This window comes from Homo sapiens, chromosome 18, assembly GCF_000001405.40.
Source record: "Homo sapiens chromosome 18, GRCh38.p14 Primary Assembly".
NCBI classification, from domain to species: Eukaryota; Metazoa; Chordata; class Mammalia; order Primates; family Hominidae; genus Homo; species Homo sapiens.
The window spans coordinates 11638590-11662849 of NC_000018.10; the positions used below are offsets into that span (position 1 = coordinate 11638590).

The 24260-nt window shown below is 45.3% G+C and overlaps 1 non-coding gene across 1 annotated transcript, besides 2 other annotated features; it reads right to left on the reverse strand.

The window, feature by feature from the left end:
• Nucleotides 1–16295: 16295 nt before the first annotated feature.
• Nucleotides 16296–16352, reverse strand: MIR7153 (microRNA 7153). The gene has a single exon (NR_106975.1). It is a non-coding gene; the product is annotated as a microRNA 7153 (primary transcript).
• Nucleotides 19162–19331: an enhancer, noted in NCBI's record as "experimental_47746 CRE fragment used in MPRA reporter constructs". NCBI's record gives its function as "activates a minimal promoter by MPRAs in K562 erythroleukemia cells, with activity observed for the non-introgressed 18:11657835 or rs17514586 variant allele {active_cell/tissue: K562}" and the evidence as "EXISTENCE:reporter gene assay evidence [ECO:0000049][PMID:34662402]".
• Nucleotide 19247: a transcriptional cis regulatory region, noted in NCBI's record as "Neanderthal adaptively introgressed variant 18:11657835 (GRCh37/hg19 assembly coordinates) or rs17514586 in the experimental_47746 CRE". NCBI's record gives its function as "modulates activity of the experimental_47746 enhancer by MPRAs in K562 erythroleukemia cells {active_cell/tissue: K562}" and the evidence as "EXISTENCE:reporter gene assay evidence [ECO:0000049][PMID:34662402]".

A 24260-nucleotide genomic window follows, 5' to 3' on the forward strand; every position in this document is an offset into this window, starting at 1 on the left:
TACATGTTGTAAAATAAATGTGATGTGGTTAATTCTTTTATTCAAAATTATAGAACATATATATGTACTATAGAATGTATTTCTTATTATGAGTCATGTTAAAAAGTTGTTTAGAAGCTGTTGATTTGAATTTCCTTTTCAAATTTTGCAGGATAATTTTTTTTTTTTTTTGACAGAGTCTCGCTCTGTCGCACAGTCTGGAGTGCAATGGTGTGATTTCGGCCCACTAAAACCTCCACCTCCTGAATCTAAGCAATTCTCCTGTCTCAGCCTCCTGAGTAGCTGGGACTACAGGCTCACACCACCATGCCCGGCTAATTTTTGTATTTTTAGTAGGGATGAGGTTTTGCCATATTGGTCAGGCTGGTCTCAAAGTCCTGGCCTCAGGTGATCCACCAGCCTCAGCCTCCCAAAATGCTGGGATTACAGGCATGAGTCACCATGCCCAGCCTAAACTTGGCAAGATAATAAATAACCTTTTTAAGTGTCGTTGGGCACTTGTCTGGTTGTTTTTCTTTAGGTTACCATGCCAGCAATGATTCCTTTTGAGTTTCTTACAGAAGATAGTGGTTTTCATCCAAATAAGTCAACTACTCTACCCCATCCCTAAGCCACTTGTATGGAAAGAAAAAGAGGAAGAAGCCAGTACTGTGACTGTGTAAGCTTCCCCCAGCATCACCCGCTATGAGATGTGTGGCAGCTGAGACCCGGGAACTGCTCAAGGGCACCAGGCCCCATCTGTCTGCACTCACCTTCCTCAGGTACTCGCATGGGCATGTCACTGACTTTATGTGCTGCTGCAGCTCCTTGGTGAGCTGGCCCTGGTCATGGGACAGGAACTGTGGGGTCAGGACAATAGAGAGCTTCACCATTTGCAGAATGAGAACAGGAGCTCATGATGAGTGCCTATCTATTAGATAATTTAAAAAAAAGGTGTTGAATGAGTGGAAAAACAAGGTGATGTTTGAGTCTATAGTGGTCAAGGGCTTCAGAAAAGGACAGAACCAAGTTCAAATTCCTGTACTTTGAATTTCTACTTCATGCCATGCAAAATTACTTTACCCCTTTTAACCTCAGTTTTCTTCTGTGTGAAACAGGAACAATAGTTTCATTCGTCATTCAGTTTCTCTCAAGGTTTCATGAGATCATACCTATAAAACATCCAAGTCATTTAAATGTATCATCATTTCTGTCATAATTAGTGGGATCCATTTCACTATTATTGGATATACAGTTCTGTGCCTGAAACCTACAAAAAAAGAAAATGTAAAGTCTAAAAAGCATTAGTGATTTCTCATTTTTATGTTACTAATTATAACCCTATTTAATCACACAAGGCCTTGTCCGTGGCAGGTGCTCAATAAACACTTGTCGAATCAATGCATGTGGGCTCCGGAGCCACACTGTTTAGATTCTATTCTGCCTCCACCACTTATCAGCTGTGTGATCTGGGTAAGATAATTCACCTCTTTATGTCTGCGCTTCCCTCTCCATAAACTATATATAATGAGAATCCTTAGCTCATTCGGTTGTGGTGAGGGGTGAATGATTTGGCACTCAGGAGGGGCTTGTTAACATTAGCTGTGATGATCTCCTTCCAAATCTTCATTTTCAGAGCCACAGATGAGGCCACAGTGCAACCAGGTGACCTTAGAGTGTAAGTATACATGATCGCCAGCTATGCTCTATCTCCACCATAGGTCCAAGACTGGGTAGTTCTGGCCTGGAGGTTTCTGCTGCATCTGCCTTCTCAGTGTTCACCTAAGGACTTTTGTATTTTCCTCCTCACATCCCCACAGATGGGGTTCAGGCTGCCGGACACAGCTGGGTGATGCCAGGGCAGTGGTCACCTGTGCCAGCCCCGTGAGGTAGCTGGAGGATCATTGTTCCTTCCTTCTCGGGCTCTGGGCAGATGCCAGGGCTGGGGTGACCCATGCCCTCAAGTTTCTTGCTTTGGTGGGCCACATTTTCCCTTGGCAAAGAGGGTAAAGGTCACAGGATGCCGGAGAGCTGTGACTTCTCTGTGCCCTGGGCCCAAACTATGAAGACCTGACACACTATGCTAAAAGTCCAAGGCTGGGTGCTCCCCAGAGCTTCTTGCCTCACCGCTTCTGCTGAGGGAGGAATGAATACTATGTCCTCCCAGAGCTTTGGGAGCTTGTAGCAAGCAGCCTCCCCAGCGCAAAATCTCTTGGAAACCTCTAACTGTGTCTGAAACATTAGTGCAAATGTTGCATCCTATTTCTCATATGTCCGCATGTTTTAGGAAAAAACCCTCAATTTCCTAAATATGCAAGAAAAATCGGTATTGTAGGACAATGTGACTTTTTAAAAAATGTTATTTAAAAATCTTCCCTACCTCCTTTTCTGCCCTCCAAGACTGCCAAATACTTGTTGAACATATATTATTAAATGCCTACTACATGCCAGCCATGATTCATGGTCTTGGGGACACAGCAGGGAATGAACTGACAGGATTCCTCTCTTATGTAACTCACATTCTTATATGATAATGATAAGGGTTAACATTAATTAAGCTGTCACTACGTGTTAGTCACGGTGCAGTCATTCCCACACATTATTACACTTAAACCTGCTAGCAAGCTTGCAAGGTAGTTAGTTGTTTTTCCTTTAAAAACTGAGTCTCGGAATGATGAAGCACTCTGTCCAATGTCACACAGCTAGTAAGTGTGGAGACCTTGCATCCAATCAATGCCCGTCTCATTCTAAAGGCCATGTTATGTGTTCTCCAGCCCATGGAGAATAATTTTAACACAGTCAATGAAATTTCTACACAACAATGTTCTTGTCTCAAGTCCAAGAATGCCTCCTACACCTCCTATAATACTGGCTTTCTGGTGAGTAAAGATGCCATTCTCCTGTGTAATCAGGTGGCAAATGGAGATATGACCGAAGTAACCATCTGTCTACACTCATAACCCTGTACACACTCTTCCTGTGTCGATTCAATTCAAGTACCCCTTTTGATCACTTAGCAAATGTGACCTTTAAAAGGGTTGAGGTTTTTATATCCATGTAAGTTTTTGTATTGCTTTGGAAGTCTCTGGTTAAATTAATACTCTTTTAATAGGGACCTGTGATTCTGTTTTGATCAAGTGTTTTCAAACTTGACGTCTTTGATGGGTTTCTCCAGTGTCAAAATCCTAAATCAAGTCTTTTTGGCTTAAAACTAACTTTGGGATTTTTTCAGCTGCATCCCTTGGGGAGTCTAAAGAATGTATCTCTCATCTTGCAGAGGTATTAAGTGATTCGATTTATTTGGTAGATTAAATGGGCAGGCGTTGTCAAATGTGGCGATACTGCATGGGAGGGCACTGTCAAGTGAGGTGACATTAGATCTCATCTCAGTTATATTTATGGGTATGTTGTTGATACACGTGTTCCAAAAATTGCATAGATTTATACAAATTTAATATGATTTGTAATTTTGATAGTTATGCTAAATATTTGCTAAAGTTATATTTGTATAAACATGTCATGAATGGCTGGGCACCGTCACTCATGCCTGTAATCCCAGCACTTTGGGAGACAAAGGCAGGTGGATCACCTGAGGTCGGGAGTTCCAGACCAGCCTAATAGAGTGAAACCCTGTCTCCACTAAAAATACAAAAATTAGCCATGCCTGGTGGCACATGCCTGTAGTCTCAGCTACTCGGGAGGCTGAGACAGGAGAATTGCTTGAACCCAGGAGGCGGAGGTTGCAGTGAGCCGAGATCATGCCACTGCACTCCCACCTGCGTGACAGAGGTAGAATCTATCTAAAAAAAAAAAAAGTTATTAATTATTTCTGAAGATTGTATGAAATTTATAAAAGTCTGGTGGCCCTGATATGATGCTGTCAGTCATGATTCTGATTACTGTCTTAAAATGCTGCACATAAGTAATTAAATTTCCTTGTGAACTGGGAAGTTTCATCAGACTTTTATCATAACTATTGTTTCCATCATCCACAGTTACTGTTTTGAATTCTTCTCTAAAAATATTTGTAATTGGCAATAGTCCAAATTTTCTTTTGTTTTCTTTCCTATTTTTGAGACACAGTCTGGCTCTGTCGCCTAAGCTGGAGTGCAGTGGTGGGATCTCGGCTCACTGCAAACTCCACCTCCCGGGTTCACGCCATTCTCCTGCCTCAGCCTCCCAAGTAGCTGGGACTACAGGTGCCTGCCACCACGTCCAGCTAATTTTTTGTATTTTTAGTAGAGACAGGGTTTCACTGTGTTAGCCAGGATGGTCTCAATCTCCTGATCTCGTGATCTCCGCGCCTCGGCCTCCCAAAGTGCTGGGATTACAGGTGTGAGCCACTGTGCCCAGCCTAATTTTTGCATTTTTAGTAGAGAGGAGGTTTCACCATGTTGGCCAGGATGGTCTCGATCTCCTGACCTTGTAATCCGCCTGCCTCGGCCTCCCAAAGTGCTGGGATTACAAGCGTGAGCCACTGCAACTGACTTTTTTTCTTTTCCTTTTTTTTTTTTTTTTTTTTTTTTTTCTGAGACAGAGACTCACTCTGTCACCCAGGCTGGAGTCCAGTGGCATGATTTCGGCTCACTGCAACCTCCACCTCCTGAGTTCAAACAATTATCCTGCCTCATCCTTCGGAGTACCTGGGATTACAGGTGCGTGCCACCGTGCCCGGCTCATTTTTGTATTCTTAGTAGAGACGGCATTTCGCCATGTTGACCAGGCTGGTCTCAAACTCCTGGCCTCAACTGATCCACTCTCATTGGCCTTCCAAGGTGCTGGGATTATAGGCGTGAGCCACCACAACTGGCTCAGTAAATACATTTTTTATTATCAAAAAAGAGTAGTGTATGGTTGGCGTATTCTGTGTAGAATGTATTTTATTGATGTCTCCTATTTTTATAATTTCTGAGTTAAGTACTTTTTAATTAATGCTTTTTAGTTTTGGGCAGATTCAGTTGACTAAAGCACCTCATTTCCCAGATACATGAAATAAAATATTTGGCTTCTTTTCCAATTTCACACTGATGTTATTTTGTGAAAATCAGTGCTTTAAGATAAATCTTTATGCGTTAAGGTAAACATGAGAAACTTGATCTAATATTTAATATTTATTCAGTTCTACACTTTATTAACTTCTACACCAGCAGATTTAGACATTATGTAACTATCTCAAGAAGTTTCACTTGGATGTAATGCTTCACGCTTGTAATGCTTCCCAGCACTTTAGGAGGCTGAGGTGGGAGGACTGCTTAAGGCAAGGAGTCTGAGACCAGCCTGGGCACCACCCACCTCGGCCTCCCAAAAGTCAAAGTCAAAGTCAAAGTCACCAAAACTTTTAAGCCAGAGTCTGCTAACCAAATGTGACTGAGGTTGGGGAGAGCCCCAACTTGAGAACAATAATGAACAATTGTTGTATGAACAATTGTTAGAGACAGCTAACAGAGTCCAGGTCCCACAATGATTATTAGTCCTAGGATGCTGCCCAACAGTCCACACTGCAGGAAGACCTAGAGGGAAAAGACTACGAGCTCTTGCTGCGATTTGAAAACAGAGTCACTGACAGCCCACGTGTCATGGAAGTAGCAGACAGCTAATCACAAACAACCTGCGGGCACAATGACCTCATTCCACACATAGCACCCTCAGACAGCACCATCACACCTGAGGGGCCATGTGGCCACGCACGAGGAAAGACCCTGTGGGCAGGGAGGGAGGGGCTGGCGAGGGAAGGTGCTGTGCTATGGCAGGCTCCCCGGGCTTGCAAGGACTCTGGACACTACAGGAGGGGACCACGGGTGTCTACACCGCCCTGGGCTATGTGCAGGCTTTCCTGGGAGGACTGGCGCTGTCCCTGGGGCTTCTGGTCTATCGTTCTCTGCACTTTCCCTCCTGCCTCCCAACAGTGGCCTTCCTATCTGGCTTGGTGGGGCTGCTGGGCTCTGTGCCAGGCCTCTTTGTGCTGCAGACCCCCGTGTTGCCCAGTGACCTCCTGAGTTGGAGTTGTGTGGGGGCAGTGGGGATCCTCACCTTGGTCTCCTTCACATGTGTGGGCTATGCGGTCACCAAGGCCCACCCTGCCCTGGTGTGTGCTGTCCTGCATTCCGAGGTGGTGATGGCCCTTATACTGCAGTATTATATGCTCCATGAGACTGTGGCACCTTCTGACATCATGGGGGCAGGGGTTGTGCTGGGCAGCATTGCCATCATTACAGCCCGGAACCTCATCTGTGAGAGGACAGGGAAGGTGGAGGAGTGAGATAGAACTTGGGAGCCTGGGGGTTGGGAGGGACAGGGATAAATAAAGGCAAAGACTGAAGACAAAAAAAAAAAAAAAAAAAAATTAAGGACCTAACCATTCAGAGGAAAAAAATGACCTGTCATGAAAATAAAAATCAATCAACAGAAGCAGACATAGAAATGATGTATTAGTGACTAGAAAAGGAGATTAAAACAGTTAGTATAAATATGCACCACATGTTCAAAATAGTAAAGCATCCACAAAATTAGAAATATAAGAGATATAAAAATGACTCAACTCAAATTTCTAGAGATGAAAAAGACAATGTCTAAGATTAAAATACACTGGATAGCAAATAACAACTTGGATGAATCTCCAGGGAATTATGCTTGCGGGGAGAAACAGTCCCAAAACTTTACGGTATAATTCTATTGACAAAACATTTTGAAATGGCAAAATTTCAGGAATGGAGAACAGATCAGTGGTTGTCAGGACTTAGAGATGAAAGAGGTGGTAGAGGGGCAAGAGAGAGGTGGCTGCAATTATAAGAGGACAGTACAAAGGGGACTTGTAGTGTTAGAACTGTTCAGTATTACAACTATGGTGGTGAATACATGAACATGCACAGGTGATCAAATTGTATGCAACGTAATAGACACAGATAGAGACACCTATACAAAGAGTACAAGTAACACCAGGAATCTCTGGATAACATTGGTACATTGTATCAATGTCAGTATCCTGGTTGTGATATTACAGTCAACCCCCTGTAGCCTGAGGTTCTGCATCTACTGATTCAAACAACTACAGATGGAAAATATGTGAAGAATAAAGCAATAAAAAATAATATAATCAAAAACCAATACAGCATAACAGCTGCCATACATAGCCTTGACATTACATTAGGTATTAAAAGTAATCTAGAGATGATTTAAAGTATACAGGAGGATGTGGGTAGGTTATATGCAAATACTATGCCATTTTATATCAGGGACTTGAGCATCCATGGATTTTGGTATCTGCGAGGGTCCTGGAACTAATCCTGCTTGGATACTGAGGGATGTCCCTATAGTACAACTTAGCAAAATGTTACCATTGATGAAAACTGGGCAAAGCATACAAATGATCTGTATTATCTCTAACAATAACATATGAATCTAGGGCCGGGCGTGGTGGCTCACACCTGTAATCCCAGCACTTTGGGAGGCCGAGGCGGGCAGATCATGAGATCAGGAGATTGAGACCCCCATCCTTGCTGACATGGTGAAACCCTGTCTCTACTAAAAATACAAAAAATTAGCCGGGTGTGGTGGTGGGCGCCTGTAGTCCCAGCTACTCTGGAGGCTGAGGCAGGAGAATGGTGTGAACCCGGGAGGCGGAGCTTGCAGTGAGCAGAGATTGCGCCACTGCACTCCAGCCTGGGCGCCAGAGTGAGACCGTGTCTTAAAAAAAAAAAAAAAAAAGAACAAAGTACCAGTTAACTGTAGGTCTACATCAAGCCATCTAGTAAACATACCATTTAATTCACAAAAAAAAAGTGGAGCTCTCTGACGGGACGTAAAAAATACGTTAGCAAGTAATGGCCAAAAATTTTCTAAATTTCATGAAAACTATTAACCCAGAGATCTAAGAAGCTCAATGATGCCTCACACCCCTATAGATCTTTTCAATGAAAACACAATGCCATATTGGCATGAAGGTAAATCTATAGATCAATGAAATGTAAAAAAGACTCTGGAAATAGAAAATTGGAGGCAAAGTAATGTGGAAAAGAATAATCTTTCCAACCAATGCTGGATTGATAGAAAAGCCGTATGCAAAAATAAATAAATGAATAATTCTCAACCCTTACACTTCACACCATACACAAAAATTAACTTAGAATGGATAAAGGATCTAAAGGTAAAACTAAAAACTGTAGAACTTCTGGAAGAAAATAAATTCTTAGTAACCTGTAAATAGCATGGGTTTCCTAAACAGAGTATCAAAAGTTGGAACTACTACAGAAACAGAATTATAGACTTCATTACAGTTAAGATCTTTTCATCTGCAAAATACATTGTCTCTCCTCTCTGTCTCTATGGACATGCCTATCTGGATATTTCCTATAATAGGAATAACAGCATGTGACCTTTTATGACTGGCTTCTTTCATGTAACATAAAGTTTTCAAGTTCATCCATGTTGCAGCCTGCATCAGTGCTTCATTTCTTTTCATGGCCAAATAATATTCCACTGCATGCATACACTACATTTTATTTATTCATTCATCTTGATAGACATTTAGACTGTTTCCACTTTTTGGCTGTTGTGGATAATGCTTCCATGAATATTCATGTACAAGTGCCTGTGTGCACCTATGTTTTCAATTCTCTTGGATTTATGTCTAGAAGTGGAATTGCTGGGTGTGAACACCATTTCAAATATTGCTGAAATATTGTATTCACTGATTTATGTAATAGCTATTGCTTTGAAAAGATTAAAGCAAAAAGTGGAAGCTGGCTTTAAAAAAAAAAAAAGAAAGAAAATGAAAAGACCAGCCAATGCCTCTGCCCGGCCACCCCATCTGGGAGGTGAGGAGCGCCTCTGCCCGGCCGCCCATCATCTGGGAGGTGAGGAGTGCCTCTGCCTGGCCACCCCGTCTGGGATGTGAAGAGCGCCTCTGCCCGGCCGCCCATTGTCTGGGAGGTGAGGAGCGCCTCTGCCCAGCCGCCCACCCCGTCTGGGAGGTGAGGAGTGCCTCTGCCCGGCCGCCACCCCCTCTGGGAGGTGAGGAGTGCCTCTGCCCGGCCGCCCATCATCTGGTAGGTGAGGAGCGCCTCTGCCCGGCCGCCACCCCGTCTGGGAGGTGAGGAGCGCCTCTGCCCGGCCGCCACCCCGTCTGGGAGGTGAGGAGTGCCTCTGCCCAGCCGCCCATCATCTGGTAGGTGAGGAGCGCCTCTGCCCGGCCGCCACCCCGTCTGGGAGGTGAGGAGCGCCTCTGCCCTGCCGCCACCCTGTCTGGGAGGTGAGGAGCGCCTCTGCCCAGCCACCACCCCGTCTGGGAGGTGAGGCGCGCCTCTGCCCTGCCGCCACCCTGTCTGGGAGGTGAGGAGCGCCTCTGCCCAGCCACCACCCCATCTTGGAGGTGAGGAGCGCCTCTGCCTGGCCGCCCATCGTCTGGGAGATGAGAAGCGCCTCTGCCCGGCCGCCCCATCTGGGATGTGAGGAGCGCCTCGGCCCGGCCACCACCTCGTGTGGGAAGTGAGGAGCGCCTCGGCCTGGCTGCCCCGTCTGGGAGGTGAGGAGCACCTCTGCCCGGCCACCCCGTCTGGGAGGTGAGGAGCACCTCTGCCCGGCCACCCCGTCTGGGAGGTGAGGAGCGCCTCTGCCCGGCCACCCCGTCTGGGAGGTGTACCCAACAGCTCTGAAGAGACAGCGACCATCAAGAACGGGCCATGATGACGATGGCGGTTTTGTAGAAAAGAAAAGGAGGAAATGTGGAGAAAAGAAAGAGAGAACAGATTGTTACTGTGTCTGTGTAGAAAGAAGTAGACATAGGGGACTCCATTTTGTTCTGTACTAAGAAAAATTCTTCTGCCTTGGGATGCTGTTGATCTATAACCTTACCCCCAACCCCGTGCTCTCTGAAACATGTGCTGTGTCCACTCAGGGTTAAATGGATTAAGGGCAGTGCAAGATGTGCTTTGTTAAACAGATGCTTGAAGGCAAAAAAAAAAAAAAAAAAAAGGGAGCGGGCTATTGATTCGTGCAATAATGATGAATCTCGAAATGATGCTGAACGGAAGAGGCCAGACAAAAATAGAGTCCTGCTCCATGATTCCATTTATATAAGGTTCTGGATGATACAAAGTAATCTATTGTGAAAGAAAACAGGTTTGCCGTTGCCTGAGATGGATTGCAGACACATGGAGAATCTTCGGTGGTGATAATGTTCATCATTTCGATTGTGGTGATGGTATCATGGGTATACAATAAACATTAAAACTCATCAAATTATATACTTTAAGCAGGTACTGTTTATTTTTCATAATTACTCCCCATTCAAACTGGAGAAAATGAGCAAAAAAAAAAAATATTTGGGCTCCCCTCCTGGTACAAGTCATTGTAACTAGGTGTGTGGACATCATAAATTATTTTCTCAATCACGTGAGATCACATTCAAACAACATGTTTTTTCCTTCAGAAAAAAATGGGGTCCCTGTTCCAATGCCTACACATTTTCCATCCATCTTCAGAGGTGACAAAAACCAAAGAGAAAGAACATCCTACACACAGTCCTGAAGGATCGCTTCTATGTAAGATAGGAATATCTTCACTAGGTATGTATCTAGAGCAATTCTGATACAAGTATACCAGAATAAATGCACAGATGATTTCTCAGCAACATTATTTTAACAGTTCCAGGAAAAAAGGCTTTCCAGTTTGGGGTGTTTTTGTTTTTTGTGGGGTTTTTGTTTTGTTTTGTTTTTTGTTTTTTTTGGCTATGAAATGGCCATAGGAGAAAGTATAAAGAAAATAAGTTGTGGTCCCATGGTGGAATACTATACAGCAGTGAAAATGAACTGTAGCTACATCCCTCAGCATAAATAAGTCTCAAAACTATAATATTAAATGAAAAAAGAAAAATGTAAAAACACTCCAAACTGAGTATATCATTTAGAGATACAAACACAGGTGGTAAAACCAAGCATGATGGTCACCAACGCACACAGAGTAGCTGTGCTGGTTGTTTATGGCCTCATTCCATCTGATTGTCCAGTGCCCGTGGCATACTGGTTGTTAAATATTTTGAATATTGTCCCTCAAAAAAAAACTATAAAGAAGGCTGAGAAAATAGGACCACAAAATTCCATTTCTTCCCATATCAGGAAAGTAATGAGATGTAGGAAACAAAGACTTAAAAATTAAAGCTGTTGGTTATCTTCTATTTCTCATACTTGGTATTTTTTATTTTATTATTCTTTTACTCTATGTGCTCACATGTGCATGGCATGTGTATATCTGTGTGTGCTCTTCTGGTTTTTAGGGGTCTTTTGCTTTTGTTTTGTGTGAAACCATTTATGTATGACCATAAATTCGCTTGTTTATATATTTCATGTGGCAACCAGGCTCCAAGATCACTTCAGTGGTCTTGTTTTCTGACATTCATATCCTGTGTACTCTCCTCCCCCGACAGTAAGTGGGATAGGCTGTCACTGCAGAAATAAATGAGTGTGTGATGTCCACATCAAGGGCATAAAAAGCAAGTTCTCACTCATTCTGGAAGAAACCAGCTGCCATGCTGTGAGGAAACTCAAGCAGCCCTGTGGAGAGATCCGTGTGTCAAGGAAACAAGGCTTGCTTCCAGCAGCCAGCAACAACAGCCAGCCATGCGAGTGAGGCATCCTGAAATTGGGTTTGCTGATTCCAGATAAGTCTTCAAATGACTGTATTCCAGCTGACATTTTAACTGCCATTTAATAAGAGACCCTAAGGCAGGACCACCCAACTAAATAGTCATGCCTTAATTCCTGACCCACAGAACATGGGTGACATAATAAATGTTTTTTAGTGTTTTAAGCATCTAGGTTTTAGGGTAACTTGTTATGCAGCAGTAAATAACTAATATATTTTGGAAGGTGGAGGCGGGATGTTACTGTAACAAAAACCTAAAATGTGGGAGATGCTGTGGATTTGGCAGTGGGAGGAAGCTGGCAGGACTTTAAGGAATGTTAATGAAAGCCTAAAGGACTTTCAAGGGACTGTTAGCAAAAGCATGGTGACATTTGAGAAGGTTGTCTGTGAGGGCTTAAAGGAAACTGAGGCGACTCATTGGAAACAGGTGGTTATGCAGTGGCAAAACGTATAGCAACGCTGTCGTCTACAGAATGTGGAAAATAGAAAATGTATCCTGTGAACTGAGTTTTAAAGGTGCCCCTGATTTTTTTTCCTGCTATTTATACTAGCAGGAACTGTTGGACATTCCCAGCCTCTCCATCTTCAGATGGCAAAGATGCTAAAGGTAAGAACTGGCTTCTTATCAAAGATCATACATATCCAGGGCCCTCTCAAGAAAAGAAGATCGAAAGATGACATCCAGTGTGTGACTGCAAAATCCCAAAGAACTGTTCAGTCAAACAGCAGGACTTCTGCATATGTTAAAGGTGTTGCCATTTAGCAGTCTCAGTAGCAGCCTAAAGGTAAAGAGAAAGATTTATTTTAAAGAGATTTACGGGCGTGACTTCTGTCAAATGGAATGAGCCCATCAAGGAGGCTCCCAGCTACTGGAAAAGAATTGCTTTGGCAGAAACACCAGCTTGGACTGAAAGGGACAGAGGTACAAATGAAAAGTGGCTTTGAACCCTCAAACATTTGCAGGCAGGAAGACTGAAAGACTACTCAGTTTCAAACGTAGTCTACAAAGGAGGAATGACGGAAACATGGAAATAAGGCCGGCAGGGCAGAGCCAAGAAGCAGGGAGACTCATTCCCAGACAGGAGTAGGACTGAGTCCTATTCACGTAACTTTCAAACTGTGCCCAGATGGATTTCAGAATTGGTATGGACCAGTGATTCCTGTACGGCTCCCATTTCCCCTCTTTTTAGACAGGAACGTCTTAGCAGCTATCTTGTGCCTGTCACATCATCATATGTTGGATGTGTGACAGGCAAATAATTTGTCTCTTTCATTCATAGATCCTCAGATCAAGAGAAACTGGATCGGAGTAGCCTCAACCACACTTGGGCCTGATTCAGATCTTGAGATCCTGGATTTTTCAAGGTGATGCTTTTACAGGATGAGACTTTGGGGGGCATTGAGATGACTGTAGTTTGCATGCAGGAAGGACATGAGTCACTGGGGGTGAGAGGGCAGACTATGGTAGCCAGTTTCCAAGAGAAACCCAATGCCCCCGACCTCCTGGTATTCATACCCTCATGTATTCTCTTCCAAAATGAGCATGGCTTAAGGGTGTAACCAATAGGATATTGCAGAAATCATGGAGTATGACTTCGCAGGCTAGGTAACAAAAGATATTTTGGCCTACCCTTAAGTTCTCTGGGATCACTCATTAGTGGGGTAACCAATGACCATGCCATGAGGACACGTCAGCAGCCCTGTGGAGAGGCCCATGCAGCAAGGAGCTAAGGGCACCTGCCGACGCCAGCCCCATTCCAGCCTGCCAGTCATGTGAGTGGGACATCCTGAAATCATTGCTTTAAGCATCCAACTCGTGGGGTGATTTGTTAATGCAGTGATAGACAACTAGTAGATTTTGGAATGCAGAAGAAAGGTACCTCAGTAACAAAAACTTAACATTTGGGAGAAGCTGTGGATTTGGTGGTATGCAAAAGCTGGAGTGTCCACCCCCTGTACAAAGCTCTCAGCCACTGTGGTGCTGGTGGGGTCCTGGCTACAGCTTCATAAGAAGTTTCTAGTTAAGCCACTCCCAAATTCCTGGTCCACTGAATCAGTGCAAGGTAATAGATATTGCTGCTTAAGACCACTGAGTGTTAGGTAATTTTTTTATGCAGGAATAGATAATGTTTCCCAATACAAAAGTATAGGGAAGCAAAGGGAAATTGGAGAATATTGAGGAATGAAAGCAGAGGTAGCACATGGGATTTAAAACAACCCATTGTTTTACATAAATGGGATCATATTTTATTTACTATTCTATGACATATTTTATACTTAAATTTTATGTAATTTTTTTCAGTAAAAGGAAATGACATGGCATTTTCATGATTTTTAAGAAAGGAATAGTTATTAAAATTTTATTGTGTGTGGTTTTCCTTTTTTTTCTTTTTTTTTTTTTTTTTTTTTTTTTGACAGAGTCTTGCTCTGTCACCCAGGCTGGTATGCAGTGACGCAATGTCGGCTCACTGCAACCACCGCCCCCCAGGTTCGAGTGATTCTCCTGCCTCAGTCTCCCAAGTAGCTGGAATTACAGGTGCACACCACCACGTCCAGCTAACTTTTTGTATTTTTACTACAGTTGGGGTTTCAACATGTTGGCCAGGCTGGAGGGCCCCTTGAACTCCTGACCTCAGCTGATCCACCCGCCTCAGCCTCCCAAAGTGCACCTGGCCTATGTGTGCTTTTCCAAACAGAAACATTAGTTCCAGTGAAAGAAAAAAAAAGTGGGGTACACTGCACCACCAGGAAAGAAATTTAAAGTATACCACAATCAAAAAAATGAATTAACAACCTTATTTTATTCTTAATAAATAAGACGAGAGGATTTTTTAAAAATCCACCTACACTCCTACCACAGTGATAGTTGGTTTTATTTTCCTCACGTTTTTTCCAGGTTTTACTCAAAAGTATTTGATTTTACACGGTTAAAATCAAACACACAAGTTTTATTCTTTGCTCGCTTAATGGTACATCTTACAGATTTTTCATGTTATTCCACAGACTTTACGTGTATCATTATTACAGATGTATGACAGTCCCTTCAGTTTCTTCAAAAATTTATACATTTCTCACTTTCCAGCCAGATGTGCAAAGAAAATGTGGGTTCTTTATCCTTTATAAACACTTGGATATTCTCATGAGCCCACTCCACCGGGAGTAAGGAAGGACACATAAACTTTGAACTTGAAACTTTATGTTACCACAGTCCCTGCCCAATTTCACGAGCTCTTGGGTGACTTCTGAGGCGGGTAAATAACGTTTCCTGCTTCTTCCACTCTCTTGCTCTTCTCCAAGAGGATGTGGGCCTGGAGTGGTGCCCATGCCTTCGCAGCGCTGGAGGCCTGTGCTCCTTCCATGGGTCCCCACCTTGGATCCTGTCCTGGGTGCACATTGGCTGGTTCCACTTAAGTGAGAGTGAAATGGAATCCAGCTGAGAAATGTGACTTTCCCTTTAGTACGGGCATCCCTCCCAAAGAGCCTGGCTGTCTCCCACTGCTGGCGAACCCCACCTCAGCTCCTGCTGTGCGGTGGGGCCTCTTGGCGTCCACTTGTTACATTGCAATCCCACCTGCCCCCAGTCCAGGCAGCTCACCTGGCCGCTCTCATCTGCAGGGCCCCTCCAACCCCACCTTGGCAGACTTCTAGGGCAAGCTCCCCAGCAAGTAGCTCAGATCTACCCTGCATCCCTAGGACGTCGGGGTCCCTTCCCACGCCACACAGCAGCTGATGCTGCTCTGGCACTCAAGCTTGTGCTTCATTTCCATTTGTAATCTAGGGAAGGCCCTTGCCCCTGTGCTCTCTTCGCAGGAATTCTGAAATGAGCAAGGCCAAATGCCCTCTTCCACAGGCCTTCTAGCCAACCCGTCTAAAGCACCTCCCTGCTGTGCTTCTGCATCCCTGCACCTGCCTCTTCTGCTCCCGTGGTGGCAGGATGGGGAGCAAAACCGAAAAACATCTGGGAAAGAACGCAAAGGAAGACAAAAAGCAAGCAGGACCCTTACCACAGGAAATAAGCAGCTGAAATGAAGGGGGAAACCAGGAGCATTGATCGAGAGCATGGGGAATGGTCTAGTGCCCCAAACAAAAAGTGTTAGGTGCCCACTGGCTTCAGCAACATGCAGGTACTGGGGGACCTTGAAATGATGCCGTTTCGGTGGAGTGGAGATGAGGAAGTCAGCCAGCCTGCAGTGGCTTCGGGAACAAGTCGAGGCAAGAAAGGAAGACAGTGGATGTAGACACTGCTTTCAAGAAATTTGACTGTGAAGGGAAGGAAAGATATGAGATATGGAATGCAGGTGGCAAATGCAGCATCCAGTATTTTGGCTTTTTGGTTGGGGCAAAGGTAAATTCAACACTGATGAGAGCCAGCCAGTAGTGAGGGGAAGGCTAGCAATTCAGACAGCGTCTTTTCTGCAGGAGGGAGGTAGGGTTTTCTGCTAAGAGAGTAAGCAGCAGGGGCAGGAGGATCAAAGGACCCGGGTACCAAGAAGTTTGGAAAGAGCTTCCATGCTTAATGCAGGAAAAGCGGAATGAAGACATACAAGAATTACCAAGGAGTGCTGGATGCGCAGACGGCCTCAGCCAGCACGAATTGACTGGGGCAGTGACCTGGAAGGAGATGGGTGCACCTGTGTGCTTCCCAGCAAATCCCGACTTCAGGGTCCGGTCACAGAAGTGGTAAACCGTCCATGGTGTGGATGACTTCGACCACCTACCACATTTGTCAGTTCTCACCACACCGAGCACAGGAGCTCGAGTAAACACGCTAGCTGGAATGTAAGCTCCAGGAAGGCAGGACGGTGCTGCCCACCATGACACAGCTGAAGGGTCCTTAGAAATCACCTAGTCAAACCACTCCATTGACAAGGAAACCCCCAGTTTGGAGAAGGAGGCCGGAGTCAAAGGCAGACCTCCTGAGCTCCACTCCCAGACCTTTCGCCAGCACGGGGTGACCTCCAACTCCCTCAGAGAACACAGCCCTCCCCCTTTGGCTTCCAGCTGGAGCGTGAATTCCCGAAGGACAGCTTCACTAGATGCCCAGATTTAGGAAAACTGTAAAGCAGAAATATCATTCCATTTTTAAAGCAACACAACCTCCCCACGTGATAGCTATTAGTAAATAGCTCACAGCTGCGAGGAGGGGCTCCAAAGGACACAACACCCTGTGCCATGGGGTTTCCACGAAGATACATTCCTAGGTGTGGGCACGGTACTCCTCCCCTCCCTGCGGCAACGCGACGGGATGGCACCGGCGCGCTCTGGGGTTCGGAACGAGGCCAGCAGGGGGCGGTCTACACCACTGAGTGTTTTCCCAGCTCGGTTTGTTGTTTGGAAGGAAATTCACGTGTGATCAATCACACCTTAAATATCTTCTGTAGCTATAAATATCAAACATATGTTTTCTAAATGGTTTACACTCCTTATCTCCCCTTTTATAAGTTCAATAGTAGAGAGGTCGTGGTGAGGGACAGAGAAGGAACACCAGACCTGGGTCCGCTGAAGAAACAAGCCCAACAGGAAACTGCCAGGCGAGACCGCTCAGTTGCCTCCCAAACACAGATGGAAGACAGGATTTTCTGGAATCACAGCAAAAGAAAAAAAAAAGCCTCAGCTTTGAACATCTCGACAGCAAATTCAATGTCTAGTCTTTATTATTGAGCAAGTTCCCTAAAACTTCAAAGAGGTAAGCACATCAAAAAAGTACTAAGTATGAAACCCTGGGAATATAAACACATAAGAGACATCCTCCTGTCTTTGAGGAACTGATAACAAAGGGGAAAGAAGATACTATCTCAGGAGTGCTCTGAGCGTGGTTAAGGGCGTGATTCATCCCTATTTAATCAATATAGCTAGGGAAGAAGATTCCAACTAAGCATGAAAGAATAGATGGGACTCCAACCAGATTGTGGAGCACTGGAAACCAAGATAGTACATGTAGCCATTTTTAAGTTTGAATAGCAATTATCTTTCTAGTACGTAATCAGGGTGCAAAGCTTATACCCCTCATAAAAGAGTTTACTGAAGTTCAGCTACAACTTCCAGGTCAACACTTCTCCCCAACCAACCCACCTTTTACTTTGTCCCTCCCCCAAGGGGCTCAGGCCCACTACTGGGGGTAACTCAGCAGGACATAAGCCAAAATTAGGCCATCAGTATCGTGCTTTGGAACGGATTTCATTCTCGATTTTTGAATCCCTTGAATCTCTGTGGTATTGTTAGGAAGGATGGTGTCCTTTATATAGCTTTCCATAAAAAGTGTCTGATTTGTCTGGATGTCCAGCACATTTTAACAAACTCAAGCCTCTAGACCTGGGAGCTGGACCATTGCTTCTACAACAAAGGCAAGTCAGACACAGGGATGGAGCCAGTTCCTCTGGTCTCATGTGTGTGGGGGCCTTCCTGTGCCAATGAATCTACCTCTACCACTCACCCCACCCTAGCTGCATCCCAATCAACAGACAGAGCTTGGTGTGGTGGCACCACCTGTAGGCCCAACTACTCGGGAGGCTGAGGTGCGAGGATCACTTGAGTGCAGGAGTTGGAGGCTAAAATGAGCTATGATCATGCCCCCCCTGCACTCTAGCCTGGGCAACATGGAAAGACCCCATCTCTAAAAAATAGATACAATACAAAACAGACACCAAAAAAGAAGCACCAGAATTTACTTTGTTCTAAGGGATATAGGCTTTGTCACTTCAACAGTCAGGTCATGGGAGTTCTCAGAAAGTGTTTTGACATTTGCTCCCTAGCAGAGGAAAGTCATTTGTGAAACTATTTTTAAACAGCAAAACTAAAAAGGTGGGGTGCCATCTCAGATGCTCATTAGACATTGAGTCCAGAGCTGCTTTGGGGGGTAAGACAGAGACACTGTGCTCTAAATACCAGCACAAGCATGAAGGACAGCGACCACAATCTGTGCAGCCAGTCCACTTCTTTAGGAAATTCGATTGTAAATACTTTGGAGCTGATGAGCTCTCCTGTGTCATCTTCATATCATGAAACCTAATAAAGGTCTCCGAATGCCTGCTTCCCCAGCACCTCCACACAGTAACAATTTCTTGCAGTTTCCATTTCCCTCAAACCTCCCACTGTTGCTGCCACCCTATGGAAGATGATCTTATCTCAAATACTTCAGAGAAAATCTGAAGACGCCGGTGAGGAATTCTGACGCATCCTGACGCCATTTCACCAGAGCCTGTGCGCAGCAATGCCACTCACTGCATCTTTTTTTTTTTAAAACTAAAACGAGAGCCCTTTCTTCCTATCAAAAGGCAGCACTTCTCTAGATGCTTCCGAGTAGCCCTGGCCCACCCAGCCTCCTCAGGCACTCCACTCCCTTTTTCCCTCTTTCTCATAAAACCTCAGCCTTTTCTCACAAAATGCCTCTCCATTGGCATCCGTGCCTGCTCTCCTTTGCCCCTGGGAGCCCCCCCCCCAGGATTTGGTCCCCTCCAGCTCCTTGCTCTCTCTTCCCACCGGAGCTTTGTTTTGATTCATCTGGCCATCCGTCCGTCCACTCTTCCTCAGCCCCACTCCTCAGCACCCCCCAGTCGGACATCCAGCCACTAAAACACTCTCCTTTAGGCCAGCAGAGGCTTGCGTGATGATAAGCCTGCCATCTTGCTCAGTTTCTTCATGGCTCTTGGAAGCCTTGCACACCGCTAAGCTTCTTGAAACACCCACTCCCCGGCTTCCTGAGGAACCACTCTCTGTTTACCCTCTGACCCTCTGGCCACATTTTCTGAGTTTCCTTTCAGAGCTCCTGCTCCTTCTCCAAGCCTAGTTTGAACATTGGAATTTATCAAAATCCTGCTTTCAACTCACTTCAGTTCTCACTCTGTGATCTCTCTTCAAAGGTCTCACCCACTCCCATGGCTTCAAACATGTTCACAATGCCAAATTTCCGTCTCTCGACCCAATCTCTGCTCTGAATTCCAGCCCTCCAGATCAACTCCCAACTGCACATCCCCGTGTGAAGGTCTCACATTGCCTCAACCTCAGAAGGTCCCAAAACCAGTGCAGAGTCAGCCTCCCCCCAACACAAGCTCATCCCACTTCACAAAATGGTTCTTCCATGGGAAAGTCATTTGTGCTGAGGACAAACTCATCCTTGATCCCTTTGTCCCTCCGCACTTGCATCCAACATGGCATTGAGTCCTACCCATTCTGTGTCCTAAATATATTTCAACCTCATCCACTTTTCTCCGTCTCTACTCCCTGTAACCTAACCAAAGCAACTATCATTTCCATGGCCTGACACTCCCAAGAGCATCCTACAGGCTTTCTTTCCCCCATCCGTGCTCCAAACAGCAGCTAGTTGGGAGAACATTACTTCCACAAACTTTTAAGTCACTGAAACCGTGATCTTCAGCGTGGTGTCAGGCCCCATGCAGTCTCACCTCCAGCCAGTCCTCCTCTGGGACACATGCCCCAGACACAGGGCTGTATTTTTTATTCTTGGGTGCCAAGCTTTCTTTGACCTGGGAGGTTTCTTTCATGGGTTTGCTGTATCTCTAACCCTCTTCTTTCCTGCCCTCCTAATTCCCTTCTCCATCTCTCCTTCCCTCCTCCTCTATCCAATCCAACCAGACCAATTCTTTTCGTACCTTAGAGTCTTAACTTGAATGTTTCTCTCTTAGGGACATTTTTCTGATGGCCAACATCTTTAGAAAAGTTTGTATCCTCTTATGTATTCATAACATTTCTCCAACTGTGTGATTGCAACTACCCAATTGTAATTAAGTAATTACTTGTTTAAAGTGACATCTGCCTTTCTAAATGACCAGCTCCGTGATTTGTACATGGCTGGGCCTGTACATGGCTGGGCTCACCATTGCTTCCCTCCACCCTAGAGCAGGTCCTAACACTCTCAAGCCAGTAAATATTTGCCGAATGAGTTAATGAACCCTCAGCTCCAGCTATTGTGTGAGCAAGAGTTGCATCACACCTTCTCATGCACCTCTTCAGAGCCTCAAGGCCTCATGAATCCTTAGTCCAGCTCTTCATGGGCTCAGGAGGATGGTTGCAAGTCCCAGTCTGCCCAGGAAGCACTCCCAGTCACCCTTGTTGCCCTGGCATAATTATTGCGACGCCCCCCCACCCCGGTTCACTCTCAAAGTGCCCTGGTTTGAACTATAAAAAATAGGCTCAACGCATGCTCTGATGGGCCTGATGCAGGCACAGTGTGAAAGAGGCCACATGCCTCTTGCCCCCAATGCTGGAGAGGTCACTGGTTGACACCACAGGTGATCTCACCCCTGGGGTGCATGAGTCCAAGGGTAGGGGAGTTAGCATCCCAACTGGAGAGGAGAGCCAGTCCAGGAATCCCCCTTTTTCCATGGCAGAGGAGGCATCCCCGGAACGAGGTTGGTGTGGCTTCTCAGAGCCACAGTCCCAAGCTCCCTGATATGAGCTCTCTCCCTATCTCTCTTCTTTATCCCCACCCCTCCTTCCTTCTGCATCAGGCTTTGATTTCTGGAGAACCCAGATTAAAATGAGGATTTACTTCCATGTGGCCCTAAAGGAAAGAATTAGAACTGAAGAGTAGGAGAGCAGGAACACGAGAAGATACATTTTGGTTCAATATGCAGCCAACCTGACAGAAGCACACATATGGAATTATCTTCCTGGGGGAAGAGTTCTCTGTCATTCATAGGTGTTCAGACAGAAGCTAGACAGTCACAGACAGGACTATTGCAAGGAAGAGCTCAGTATCCGATGGGGCTGGGTTAGCTTTTCATTGCCTTCCTATTGAGGATTCCAAGATGCAATATTTAATGAAAAGTTATTTCATATGTCTACCTTGCTTAGAGAAAGTAATTGAAATGTGGAGAGAGATTTAATTGGCAAACCTTATCCAAAGTATTGTTTCCCATGAATAGTCTGGCTCACCATGTGCTCAGAGAAGGGCAAAATGGCCAGAAGATCCTGACTTAACATTGAAAAAAGGTACAATTATCCCCAAACATTTCCAGCTGACATAAATATGCACACCCCATCTAAAAAGTACAGCAAACCTGAAAGCCCCATTGGCTGATACTAGTAACCCATTTCTCTGGAATCAGATGATTTATTTTCCTTTGAATGTATCATTTCTGAAGTAATAGGTTAATATTATTTTTAAGTTAATTTTTTTAAAGGTCTGTCTGAATGTTCAAAGATAAAGTTCGCATCACCCTCCCATACTGGCAAGATAGAGTTTGGTATTGTTTTCAAATACGAAGTCACTTTCCTTCTCAAGGAACTGGCCTGGGAGTGTCTCGGAGAAGTTAAATGCAGTGTGGGCTCAGCCACAAAACCGAATAATGCCACTGCAACAACTTGATTCTCAGGAGGGAAAGAAGACTGGCTCGGAGTACATCGGTGGCTACGGAAACCAGCCCTGTGGACACTGGAGAGAAGATGTTTCCATCTAAGTCTATTAAAAAAACCCCAAGACTCCAGCAAATTCAGGCCTGTAAATGTTAGAAGCGGTTTGGTACGGTGATTAGGTTAAGGCATCAAGGACACAGCTCCAGGACACTGTGTGGGTGGCGGCGCCACGGGTCCAGAAACCAGGAGGGAGGGAAGGGGGGTGTATTCCTCCTGCCCAGCAGGCAAAGCAGTCCACCAGGTGGGTAGTGTCTCCAGCACACAAGCTGGGTTTTCAGGGCAGTGTTCCAGCACCAGCAAGGGTCTGGGGTGCTAGACAGGGAAACTGAGGCAGAGACCCACCCACACAAACTGGAACAACTTGGCAGAGGAAAAGAAGACACAGGCAGATGCACACCTCAGTGCCTTCAGCGGGCACACAGGCACTCCAGCGCACCGGGGAGAATGATGACAAGAACCAGGTCAGACCTCACCAGATAAGATTAGCCCAAGAACGAAGGGAAGAAAAATACCCAGGCGGGAACCCACAGAAATGTCAATGGAAGCAGCTAAGCAGGACACCCCTTGACACTTCTTGAGGCATGACTGGCATGTGCCTGGACCTTGTTTTTATTCGAGTGCCCATTTGCCATTCCCAGGGCCTATGTCCTAAGTCCACCTAGAAGCCCCGGCTCCCAAGCCTCTCTGAAGTGCATCATTTTTCCCACTGCATGCACTTTTTGGCATCTGCTGGAGCTCATGAAAGCATCCCTGTAAACTTTACAAAATTAATCAAGGAATAAAGGAAGGCGAGAAATGAAAATAAACCCAGCTGGCGGCACACTCAGCATTCATCATTAGGTCAGCAGCTCTCTGATCCACTTTCTCATAGCTGTTTGGTGCCAGTTGCCTCAGAATCCCGTGGACCCTGTTACAAGATTATAGTTCCCCTTGACTGCCCTATCGATAACAACTTCAACATTACAAAACGTCAAATTTCCCTTTGAGATATTCTTTCAGGTCCTGCATATCAGTGAAACTGCTGACTCAGCTGGTCTGAAGGAACCTAGGAGAAGCTGACTCACCAAGGATGGCAGTTTCCACATCCTAATGAGTTCCTCCCCTTTTCCCCAACCAATCAATGACTCTAATTTTCCAGTCCCTCATCTTCCACGATCCCCTTAAGGGTCCCAGCCCAGAACTTCTCTGGGAGATGGATTTGAGGGTCTCCTCCCATCTCTTTGCTCAACACCCTGTGATCACGAAACTCCCATCTCTGCTGCAAACCCTGCTGTCTCCATGTCATTGATCTGTGACTGCACAGCAAGCATGTGAACCTGTTGGTCCTGTAACACTCTCATTGGAACCATTTCATGGAACTACTTTTCCTTCAGGTTGAGCTTGTAACAGGGACCAGAGTCACTGCAGAATTCAACAGTTGTCCTCCTCATTGCCCTCTTCTCTTCGATCAACCAGGTTTCATTTTCAGCCCAGTTCTCCAAAATGAGTAATGTGCCGCATTTTGAGCATTCATGTGAGAACAAGCAGTGAACGAGAATTCTGTGAACATCGGTTCTCCAGCTCCAGAGCCCTCGGGTCTCTCCTACATCCATCTCTTAAGTTCTCACTGAAGGCACTACTTCCCTCACCTTTATACCTTTCCTCCCTCGTGGAAACAATGATGCTTCTTATAGCATCATACTGGGATTACGCTACCAGTATCCACGTACATCTATTCAAAAAACCAGATGGAAGCAGCCTGATAACGGTGATGGTCTGGCCTAAAATGATCTAGGTCTAGAATTTATAAGTGGAAGAGAGCCCTGAAAGTCCTTAGTTTAATTCCTGTATTCATAAATGTGAGGATTAAGAATTAAAGGGACTAAGTGACTTGCTCCTTTGGATTTGCCCAAGGACCCACAGCTAGCTGCCAGCTAGTGGCAGCAATGGAACTAGAATCCAAATGAAAGTTTTCCCCATCTCACATACTCCCAATTTTTACAGAACAGATAAGGGAAAACTCATGGCACCACTTGGAAACTGGTTACTCCAGATATCTTCCTCTCCAGCTCATGTCCACCAAATGACAGCCAATCACATTTGACAATGTAAAAATCAATGTTCACCCAGCACTTTCTATGCACTTTTCCCCAAAGTCCCTACTTTGGGGAAAACAGGAGAGTAAGATGAAGCCATTCCATTCCATGGCTCAAGAGCTCATGATCTAGTTGGAGAAGTGAGACATTCATCCAATAGTTCTGGCAAGTGACCACACGCCAGGCACTGCTGGA